At 41.4% G+C, this 12273-nt stretch overlaps 1 pseudogene across 1 annotated transcript in view; it reads left to right on the top strand.

Annotated features, from left to right (window-relative positions):
* Nucleotides 1-3441, top strand: part of GTF2H2B (general transcription factor IIH subunit 2B (pseudogene)) — a 34993-nt pseudogene extending 31552 nt beyond the window's left edge. Inside the window, exon 15 of the transcript NR_033417.1 lies at nucleotides 313-3441. The product of NR_033417.1 is annotated as a general transcription factor IIH subunit 2B (pseudogene) (transcript). The remainder of the gene's footprint in view (nucleotides 1-312) is intronic.
* The last annotated feature ends 8832 nt before the right edge of the window (nucleotides 3442-12273 follow it).

Below are 12273 nucleotides of genomic sequence, written 5' to 3' on the forward strand. Positions count from 1 at the left end.
CAAAAGTAGCGCTGGTTTGAAGCTCATATGTCTTTCCTAAACCTTAGAATGAAATAATTGAGAGCGAACTGTAATAGAATAGACTTTAAAGACTCAAAAACAAAACCATTCCCTCATTTCTAAGGGATAGTTTTGGGGAAAAAATTAATTGCCTTAGATTTGAGAATATAGAGTACATTGGAAGTAATAAAGTAGGTAGTGGGAAAAAATTGGTAGAGATATAAAAGAGCAAAGCACACCTTGAATGTCATCTAGCTGTGCTGTAATTAACTTTTGGAAACTAGTTTATCACTTTTCTTCTTTTCACTACAGGTTTATGTTTGTGCTGTGTGCCAAAATGTTTTCTGTGTGGACTGTGATGTTTTTGTTCATGATTCTCTACACTGTTGCCCTGGCTGTATTCATAAGATTCCAGCTCCTTCAGGTGTTTGATTCCAGCATGTAGTATACATTGTATGTGTTAAAAAGAAATTTGCAACTGTGAATAAAAGGACTTCTTTAGAAGAAGCTTCATTTAAAACATGAAAGGATAATCTGACTTAAGAAACTTTTTGCTAAGAAAAGGTAATATTTTATTAAATTTTAAATTTGTGTTGTCACAGAAATACCTGAAATTCAGTAGTACTTCATTCAATTAATTTTGTTTTCTATTATTTTGAGTTATACTGTTTTCAAAGTCATTATGCAGTATGTATAAACTTATAAGAATTAAATTGATGTGATAATTTTATGTTTTTATAATTAAATATAGAATCTTTATGATTTATGTTAATTCATTAATTTAGTGTAAGAAGAAAGTTAAGTCTGAATGTAAATTCAGTGTAAGATGAAAATTTATCAATACTTATGAAATTAGGCTGGGCGCTGTGGCTCACACCTGTAATCCCAACACTTTGGGAGGCTGAGGTGGGCAGATCACTTGAGGTCAGGAGTTCGAGACCAGCCTGGCCAACATGGTGAAACCCCGTCACTACTAAAAATACAAAAAATAATTAGCCGGGCATGGTGGTTCACGCCTGGAGTCCCAGCTACTTGGGAGGCTGAGGCAGGAGAATCGCTTGAACCCAGGAGGCGGAGGTTGCAGGGAGCCGAGATTGTGCCACTGCACTCCACCCTAGAGTGAGACTCCCTCTCAAAAAAAAAAAAAGTTATGAAATTAATACATATGAAATGATGTACTGCTACATCCACCAGAGAGGTCTTTTTAGGTTTAACCAAACATCTGGAATATGTTTATCAAGTTAGTACATCTGAAATTATTTGTGGCTATGACCAACAGAAGTCACTTTACATTAAACATTCAAACTCACAAGACTGCCATGGCCATACTTGGTACCCGCTTACTCAGAAGGATATTAAACAGAAACAACAGCCTGCCAGCACAGCATCAAGCAGTCCTCATTAGCAGTGGAAGTCCTTGTAGCAGTCCACTAGTACAATTTGGGTGCAAGGAGATAAGATCCTCCACAGGCATCAAGGAACCAATATCTCTTAACAATTCCATAAACACAGCTTCCAGGTATCCACAAGGGATGTGTCAATTTCAAGAGTCACTACACTCAGGAAAGCCTAAAGCTTGAAGACTCCATTTATTTATAGTGCATCCCAATCCAGATACGTAACAATTAACGAGTTATTTTTACTATAAGCAAAGTTGCCTAAAATCATAGTTGATACTAACCATGGTTAACAGAGCTCTAAAGTTTGACAGAAAGTGAGATTCAAATCCTTTCACTCTCATATGCTAAACCTTTTGCCTTACTCTGGGTCATCAGAGAAATTTAGGTGAGAATGTATGATGAAGTCTGTGTTTTAGATTCAATGCAGATATATCATTGTGGGCAGAACTCTTTCTGGTTATATCCAGTTAAGAGTAAATCAGGCTTTCAGCCGGGCGCGGTGGCTCACGCCTGTAATCCTAGCACTTTGGGAGGCCGAGGCGGGCAGATCACGAGGTCAGGAGATCGAGACCATCCTGGCTAACACGGTGAAACCCCGTCTCTACTAAACATACAAAAAATTAGCTGGGCCTGGTGGCGGGCGCCTGTAGTCCCAGCTATTCGGAAGGCTGGGGCAGGAGAATGGTGTGAACCCAGGAGGCGGAGCTTGCAGTGAACCGAGATCGCTCCACTGCACTCCAGCCTGGGCGACAGAGCTAGACTCTGTCTCAAGAAAAAAAAAAAAAAAAAAGAGTAAATCAGGCTTTCATAGCAAAGGTATGTCTATTTTATGTATATAAACTTCAGGTACTCTAACTTGAGTTTCACTATGAAATTTGTGATTTTTTTTTTTTTTTTTTGAGATGGAGTCTTGCTCCATCGCCCAGGCTGGAGTGCAGTGGCCTGCTGTTGGCTCACTGCAACCTCCGCCTCCCAGGCTCAAGCCATTCTCCTGTCTCAGCCTCCTGAGTAGCTGGGACTACAGGCGCCTGCCACCACGCCTGGCTAATTTTTGCATTTTTGGTAGAGACGGGGTTTCACCTTGTTGATCAGGCTGATCTCCAACTCCTGACCTCAGGTCATCCACCCACCTCCGCCACCGTGCCCGGCCGAAATTTGTGATTTTATAACTAAGAATTTTTAGTTAAGAACATTATCAGTAAAGACAACGTAATCCCACCCTGGAGAGTTTATTGGGAGCCCAGGAATATTCATTTTTAATACACACACACACACACACACACACACACACTGATCAGAGTAACGGGAGTTTCTCTCAGGAGTCATACTCCATGAGCCTGGACCCAGTGGTTCTTTATGTGGAAACAAATTTCACCTATAGGTAACCTGGTAACTGCTATTTTCTTCTGTGTGCTCTGTCAACAAAGGTATCAGTGGCTTGCAGGAGATGCCTTTAATACTCAGAGCATTCTATCTCCCCCTATCTGGTTTAGAAGGAAGGCCTTCATTAGTTACCTTTTGAGAAGTTACTAGAACTCTCTATTAGAGACTTACCCTCCTGACCTGATAAAAAGGGATACCCATGTCTCTATTAACAGCTTTATCTCTTTCTACAGTTTTGGGTATTTGATAAGGTTAAGGCAAAATTTTAGTTATGCTTAAGGAGGAGTTCTTTTTTCACAATTACAGAGAAAATTTTGGTTTGTTGAAGATTGCAGAAACAGCAATGGTAATGTAAGACAGTTTTGGCCTTTAATTTTTTTCTTGAAACTCTACAGTATACTACAATAGTGAAGGAAACTATTATCATGAGAGATCCTTCTGAATAGGATGTCTTTCTGAGTTCCACTATTCAGTTACAAAACTCCTTAATGCTTAAAATTCATTATGAAAATTAGATTTATTTTAAATACTTTCAAGTGTATACATTTTTATTTCATAATTTTTATTGTCTTTTAACTAAAGCATTTAGTTCATTTATATTTACTGTGTACCTTTTATATTTAATAAATATATTTACTTATTAAAAGATTACCACTGATATATTTTATTTATTATAAATATTATATTTATAAATATATTATTTATATTTATATTTATATATTTATATATATTTATATATAATATATATTTTAATATATTATATATTAAAATATATAAATATATCTAATAAATATAAATATTTATTAAAAGATTACCACTGATATATTTGGGTTTAAGTCTATTATCTTTGTGTTATTGGTTCCAACAATTCCATCTTTCGTTTTTTTAAATTTTTTTAACTACATATTTGATACGATCTTTTCCTTCTTGCCTTCTTTTTGATTACTTACTTTCTACCATTCTATGTTTTTCGTCACTAGTTTGAAAATTGTATACTTTGTTTTTATTCTTTCAGTGGTTACCCTAGAAATTACAACAAACAAAAATTGCAACAACAATAAATTACAACAAGAAGAATTTTTTTTTTTTTTTTTGAGACAGAGTCTCGCTCTGTCGCCCAGGCTGGAGTGCAGTGGCGCGATCTCAGCTCACTGCAAGCTCCACCTCCCGGGTTCATGCCATTCTCCTGCCTCAGCCTCCCGAGTAGCTGGGACTGCAGGTGCCTGCCACCACGCCTGGCTAATTTTTTGTATTTTTACTGGAGACGGGGTTTCACTGTGTTAGCCAGGATGGTCTCGATCTCCTGACCTCATGATCCATCTGCCTTGGCCTCCCAAAGTGCTGGGATTACAGGCGTGAGCCACCACGCCTGGTCAACAACAAGAATTTCTTAACTTAGGTCCCCTAGGAAGTAGAACCTGAGGCAAAGATGAAAGTATTGTTACTTTATTAGGGAGGGACAGATCTAGGGGGGTGAGAGTGTGGAAGAAAAGGGAAAGCAAAGCAAGGAAAAACGTGATGCATTGTGTTACTGCAGTGACCAGGCTTCATGACAAGCTGTGACGAGATACAGGAGCCTTCCAGCAAGTGTGTTCACTTAGAGTGTGGGGCTTCTCCAGAAGGTTTATAAGGAGAAACTGCCCCTCTGAGCAGTCCATTGAAGGGAGGAAGGAGAAGTAACTTAGTTTCCTAAGTTCTTCCATTTCCCGTTGATCCTAGTTTGCCCACAGGGCTGTGTCATCTCGTCCTTTGGTAACTGCTCAGGAAGCCAGATCTCGTGCTCAGTGGTGTGGCATTGCATCTACTTCTAGAAGGATTTCTCAATACTTTATAACTTCCTCATGTTTCTGGTCATGTTTGTGTTCAGCTATATCTCTAGAACGGTTGGCCAATTCATAGCATGAAATGATTTCATGAGTGGTGACAAAGAAAGGGTGCAATCAGCCCTTGGGGAGTGGGTTAGTGGAATCCCAGTCCTGAGGCCATTAGTGGGTGGCAGAGTTTAGGAGAAAAGGTAAGAAGTTTCAGTCCTTGGGCCCTGTAGTAAGGAGAAAAAGGGTACAGGAGGTTGTCACACTTCTGAGAAGTAGTCTTAGAGTGCCCTAGTGCCTGCTTTGGATCCAGTTCTGTAAGGGCAGAGGATTCATTATTTCCAGGTAATTTAAGTATGTTCTGGGGAGAAGTGTTACAAGATGGACTGGGGACTCGGCTGGGATCCTGATGGGATCTAAATTATTGATTTCACCTGACTGAATTGCTATTTGCGTCACACCTCAGGACCCTGGAAACAATACACAATTTGCCCATTCATTAATTTATTAATTCACTCAACAAACTTGTACATCTGCCATAAGTCTGACACCATCCTAGTTATCAGGGATGTAGATAGTCAAAAGAAGATGTAAACCTAACCTCATGCATCTGTGAATCTCCCCATCTAAAAAGACACAGCCTTGTAAAGAAGCTTGTGTGAAAGTGCTAACGACAGACATGCCAAGTGTTAAGGGGATGCAGGAGAGGCGTGGTAAAATGGGTTGGGAGGCAGCTCAGATGTCTAAAGGGGTCAGGCAGACAATGCAGATAAGTGAAAGAGGGCCAGTTGATGCAGAGTGGGGACATCTGGAAAGCACCCGCCCCATCTAAAGGAGGCAGCCTCTGAGAGTCTGGGGATCAGGGATAGAAGGGAGATGTACTTTTCACTGTACATCCTTTTGTATTTTTTAAATTTTGTTACTTAATTCAAAAAAATGTAAAAATAAAGTGAGGTAACCATTATTTGGCCCCAGCCTATTTTTTTCTTCTGGGAATGATACTTAAAGAGAAACTAAATCTGGATTTTTTTTTTTTTTTTTTTTTTTTTTTTTTTTTTTGAGACAAAGCCTTGCTCTGTTCCCCAGGCTGGAGTGCATTGGTGCAATCATGGCTCACTGCAGTCTCGACCTTCCAGACTCAAGTGATGGTCCCACTTCAGACTCCCTAGTAGCTGGGACCACAGGTGTGTGCCATTGTGCCTGGCTAATTTTTAAAAAGTTTTTTTTTGTAGAGACAGTGTCTTCCTATGTTGCCTAGGCTGGTCTTGAACTCCTGAGCTTAAGTAATCTGCACACCTCAGTCTTCCAAAGTATTGGAATCACAAGCGTGAGCCACCATGCCCAGCCGTAAAAACTGGATTTTTAAAGTGAATTCTCCCAAGTTTGAGATGTTAGCCTCTAATTTAGAAAAACACAGAGGCTAAATAAAACTTATCTTCAGTCCACCAGTTGACAAACTTTGGCCTGGCCTGTCTCTTTTCTATCGTTTATCATCAGGGCAGATAATCTTTTAAGTTTCAGGTGTTACACTTTCCTGGGATATACTCCTCCTAGGGGGTAATTTATTTACTTTTTGTTTTTGTTTTTGTGACAGAGTCTTGCTCTGTCAACCAGGCTAGAGTGCAGTGGCATGATCTTGGATCACTGCAACATCTGCCTCCCGGGTTCAAGTGATTCTCCTGCCTCAGCCTCCCGAGTAGCTGGGACTACAGTCATGTGCCACCATGCCTGGCTGATTTTTGTATTTTTAGTAGTGACGTGGTTTCACACCATGTTGACCAGGCTGGTCTCGGAACTCCTGACCTCAAGTGATCCACCCACCTTGGCCTTCCAAAGTGCTGGGATTACAGGTGTGAGCCACCGTGGCCAGCCTTAGGGGATAATTTAGGTTTTTTGTGTTTCTGTTTTAAATTTAAATTTTTATTTTTTTGAGGCAGTATCACTCTGTCTCTCAGGCTGGAGTGCAATGGCACAATCAACTCACTGCAGCCTTGAATTCCTGGGCACAAGTGATCCTCCCAATTCAGCTTCTCAAGTAGCTAGGACTACAGGTGTGCACCACCATGCCTGGCTGAATTTTTTTTTTAAGAGATGGACTCTTGCTGTGCTGTCCAGGCTCGTGTCAACTCCTGGCCTCAAATGATCCTCTCTCCTAGGCCTTCCAAAGTGCTGGGATTACAGACGTTAGCCACTGTACCCAGCCTAGTTCAAGTTTTAAGCATTAAGAATTGACTCTTTGGAGGAATAGGGATCTTTTAAGGATCTCTACAGTCAGTGACTCTAAATGTAGTGTTTGGACCAGTAAGTAGCATTAGCATCACCCAAGAAGTCATTAGAAATGCAAATTCTTGGCCAGGCGCGGTGCCTCATGCCTGTAATCCCAGCACTTTGGGAGGCTGAGGTGGGTAGATCACGAGGTCACGAGTTCGAGACCAGCTTGACCAACATGGTGAAACCCTGTCTCTACTAAAAATACAAAAATTAGCCGGCCGTGGTGAAGGGCATCTGTAATCCCAGCTACTCAGGAGGATGAGGCAGGAGAATCACTTGAATCCAGGAGGCGGAGGTTGCTGTGAGCCAAGATCGCACCACTGCACTGCAGCCTGGGCAACAGAATGAGACTCCATCTCAAAAAAAAAAAAAAAAGCAAATTCTTGAGCCCCATCACAGGCCTGTTGAATCAGAAACTCTGAGGATGGGTCTAGCAGTCCGCTTTAACAAATCCTCCAGGTGGTTACCATAAATGTTGAAGTGTGAGAGCTACTGCCTGTAATCCCATTTAGAGAGGTACATAGGTAACTTAAAAACAGGTCCTGATAAAAGAATTCTACTAAACTTAAAAAACAAATTCAGGTAACTTTATAAACAAACAAATCTCGGCCGGGCGCGGTGGCTCACGCCTGTAATCCCAGCACTTTGGGAGGCCGAGGCGGGCGGATCACGAGGTCAGGAGATCGAGACCATCCTGGCTAACACGGTGAAACCCCGTCTCTACTAAAAATACAAAAAATTAGCCGGGCGTGGTGGCGGGCGCCTGTAGTCCCAGCTACTCGGGAGGCTGAGGCAGGAGAATGGCGTGAACCCGGGAGGCAGAAATTTCAGTGAGCCGAGATCGCGCCACTGCACTCCAGCCTGGGTGACAGAGCAAGACTCCGTCTGAAAACAAACAAACAAAAAAAACAAATCTCAAACATGGAATTATTTTTTCACTTCTCTCTTTTGTTTTGTTTTTTTTTTTTTTTGAGACAGAGTCTCGCTCTGTCACCCAGGCTGGAGTGCAGTGGCGCGATCTCGGCTCACACTGCAATTTCTGCCTCCCGGGTTCACACCATTCTCCTGCCTCAGCCTCCCAAGTAGCTGGGACTACAGGTGCCCGCCACCACGCCCGGCTAATTGTTTTTTTGTATTTTTAGTAGAGACGGGGTTTCACCGTGTTAGCCAGGATGGTCTCGATCTCCTGACCTCGTGATCCGCCCGCCTCGGCCTCCCAAAGTGCTGGGATTACAGGCGTGAGCCACTGCGCCCGACCTTTTTCACTTCTCTTAATGCTCTGTAAACATTAATGTATTTATATATGTACTTAGAATTTTAAAAAATCAATTTTATTGAGTTATAATTAACATACAGTAAAAATGCTCCCATCTTGAGTAATTCCATGCCTTTTGACAAGTGTTCTGTACCCATGCCACGACCACCACAATCGAGAGAGAACATCTTCATCACTCCAGAAGGGCTCCTTTGCAGTGAGTACTCCCTAGGAGTTCCAGCGGCCGGTGACATTGATCTGTTTTCTGTCACTGTAGATGAGATTTGTCTGTTATATACAATTTTTAAAAATTAAATGATATGTATGGCTTCTTTTGCTTAGCATAATGTTTTTGAGCTTATTCATTTGTTGCATATATCAATACTTTGCTTCTTTTTACCACCTGTACTTCATTTATGGATACGTTGTTTATCCATGTGTTTATCCCCAATGGACATTGGGTTGTTTCTGATTTTTTGGTTATTATTATGAATAAAGTTGCTATGAACATTATTGTATAAATCTTTGTGTGTTCATGTGTTTTCATTTTTCTTGGGTAAATATGTAGGAATGGAATTGCTAGATTGTATGGCAAGAGTATACTTAGCTTTCCATGACACCAGTGAACTGTTTTTCCAAAGACATTGTATTAATACCATTTTACATTCCCACAACTAATGTATGAGCTTCCAGTTGCTCCATATCCTCAACTAACAGTTGATATTGTACAATACAAATGTTAACTTTTAGAATATCTTCACAACTTTAGAGTAGATAGTGATTTCTTAGGACACAAAAACTATCAATCATAACAAAAATTAAAATTGGACTTCATCAAAATTAAAAACTTCTTTTTGAAAGACACCATTAAGAAAATGAAAAGATGGTTAACAGACTGAGAGAATATATGTGCAATGTAAATATCTAACAAAGGACTAGTATGCAAAATATATAAAGAATCCTTATAATTTAGTAATAAAAAGGAAAACACGCACTTTTTAAATGGGTCAAGAATTTAATTACGGCCAGGTGCAGTGGCTCACACCTGTAATCTCAGCACTTTGGGAGGCCGAGGTGGGTGGATCACGAGGTCAGGGGTTCGAGACCAGCCTGGCTAACATGGTGAAACCCTGTCTCTACTAAAAATACAAAAATTAGCTGGGCGTGGTGGTGGGCGCCTGTAATCCCAGCTACTCGGGAGGCTGAGGCAGGGGAATCGCTTGAACCCAGGAGGCGGAGGTTGCAGTGAGCTGAGATTGTGCCACTGCACTCCAGCCTGGGCGACAGAGCGAGACTCTGTCTTTTAAAAAAAAAGAAAAAAATTTAATTACCTTACCAAAGAAGATACATGAATGACCAATAAGCCATTAAATTAAAACTTCAGTGAGTATACACATATGCCCTGAAGTAGCTAAACTTTAAAACACTGCCCTATGTGTGTGTACTTTTTAGCTAAAAAAGTGTTTGAAAACAGTATTATTTTGAAACTCAAAATTCCAAATCCTCTCTTCAAATTAGGTAGTAGTGTCACTGGAAGTAAAAGAGAAGTTACTTTAACTGCTAAAGAGTATCCACTAAGAATCTACAACAAACATCATGTTTAATGCTCAAACTTTAGAAGAATTTATACCAAAAGTCAAGAATAAGATAGGATATCTATCTTCATTATTAAGCAACATTATATTAGAGGACCTAATCAATGCAACAAGGCAATAAATAAAAGACAAAACTGTCATAATCAGATACTACAAACATCTAAGAAAATTCAGGGGGATTTACAGTCATATATTAAACAGTCCAGAAGGAGTCCTATACATCATCAATGAATATTGAGAATAAAAAATAGTTTTTAAAACCCCTCCAATTTATAAGGGCAACAAAATGTACAAGGTACTAAAATAAATGTAATGTGTATTTGGGTATAAATACAGCAACATAATGAAAAGGTTTATTGGGGAAAAAATTACAGGGAGAAGGGTCAACAACGTGAAGAGGTTCCCCTGCCATCTGGACTTCTGGAAAAAGACCTGCTGGTCTAGGCACAGCTGGATGCACCATGGAAAGTGGTTCCAATAAACACTGGCACTGTAACAATTGTGTATGTTGATACAAAAAGAGGGAGCCAATGAATACTTGGTCGATTATTTAACAATTGCTTCTCTGCTGAAGAAATGGCCTTGTTGGACTAGAGCTTAACTGTGGTTCACATACTAATGCTGCTATAACAGCTAGAAGCCTTACTAAGAAATTTGCTAAACCACCAAAAAGAGGAAATGAACCTTCTAGGACATCTGGATTGCCTTTTCTTAAAAATCTAGTCTTGGCTGGGTGCTGTGGTTCACGCCTGTAATCCCAGCATTTGGTGAGGCCGAAGTGGGCGGATCACGAGGTCAAGAGATCGAGACCATCCTGGTCAACATGGTGAAACCCTGTCTCTACTGAAAATACAAAAATTAGCTGGGCGAGGTGGCATGTGCCTGTAGTCCCAGCTGCTGGGGAGGCTGAGGAAGGAGAATCACTTGAACCCGGGAGGCGGGGTTTGCAGTGAGCTGAGATCACGCCATTGCACTCCAGCCTGGCAACAGAGCAAGACTCAGTCTAAAAAAAAAAAAAAAAAATCTAGTCTGTATGGCAGCACAACATCAGGTAAAAGTACAGACTAGCCAGATCACTGGTTAACCTTAACCCCTATGTGCTTGAGTTTCCTTATCTGTAATATGGAGATGATATAGCAATAGCTGATTTTGGACTGTTAAAGGAATTAAGTGGACACATGTAAAGTGCTTAGAATTGTGCCTGGCAAGTAGTAGGCTGCAATATTGTGATATAATAAATATATATATTTGATCTTCATCCAGTTCCTGGCACAGATCTCCAGAAACCCTTGTAATTTCCTGAGTGACAGGGGTGATAGAAACATCTTTTATTAGAATACTTGGTCTTGGTTCCTGACACAAGAGCTTCTAAGACCTTTGGAATCTCCAAGTGATAAGAGTGTATGACAGTGAGCTAACTGGTGGCTGGGATCCTTTAGACAACTTCAGGATGGGGGCTATCCCCTGAAAGACTAAGGCATGATTAGAGGTCTGGGATTTGCAGCCCCACGCCTCGACCTCCAGAGAGGGTAAAAGGGCTGGCGATTGATTAACCACCAATTGCCAGTGATTTAGCCAATCATGCCTAAGTGATGGCACCTCCATTAAAAAATAAACCACAGGTTTGGAGAGCTTTCGGTTTGGTTAACCCCAACCACATACCAAGAAGGCGATGCACCTCAAACTGCATGAAGACAAAAGGTCCTGTGCTCACCTGGGACCCTTCTGGACGTTGCCCTGTGTACCTCTTCGACTGCCTGTTCATCTGTATCCTTTATAATAAAGCAGTAAACATAAGTAAAGTTTCTGAGTTCTGTGAGCCATTATAAGAAACGATCGAACCTGGGATTTTCCTTTCGGAAGCCGCTCTCTCTCACAAGGGAGAGAGCTGTTCTCCTTTTTCTTTTGCGTGTTAAACCTCCGCTCCTAAACCCACTCTTCGTGTGTATCGTGTCCTTAACCTTGTTGGTGCGAGACGACGAACCCCGGGTATTGACCCCAGACAACAATGCCACTTCATATTGGGGACTTCGTCTGGGATTCCAAGGTGCATTCATTGCAAAGGTGAGTAAAGGGGCGGACCTCAACTCTGTCCTTTGATTTCGAGGCTCTTGGCCTCCATTTTAGAATCAAACCAAACCAAATACTGGGCCCCCTTCTGCTTCTGTGAATGAGAAAACTCTGCCTTCACCAATTAGCCATTTAAAAATTATGAGCGTGGCTGCCAGCCTTACAAGTTTTGGGGGACAGGCTTGCTGGGGAGAACATGGAGAACCCCCCAATACCCACGGGCTGCTGGGCATATTGGCCATGTTTGAACCAGTTTCCTTTCACGGAGGACCAAGCTGTCGTGTGGGGCTGGAAGAGGTCCTGGAGCAACTGAGGATTTCTGGCTGGGGCTACCTCCTGGTGCCATCCGAAGGCTTCTGGACTGACCCCAGCCTCCGACCACCCTAAGGGGTGTCGGCAACAGGACCTCCAACTTTCCTATCATAATTCCCTCATTTCCTATCCACGACCACCATGTCTCCTAACCTCTCTCTGTATGCAGTACTGAG

Source organism: Homo sapiens, chromosome 5 (genome assembly GCF_000001405.40).
Source record: "Homo sapiens chromosome 5, GRCh38.p14 Primary Assembly".
NCBI classification, from domain to species: Eukaryota; Metazoa; Chordata; class Mammalia; order Primates; family Hominidae; genus Homo; species Homo sapiens.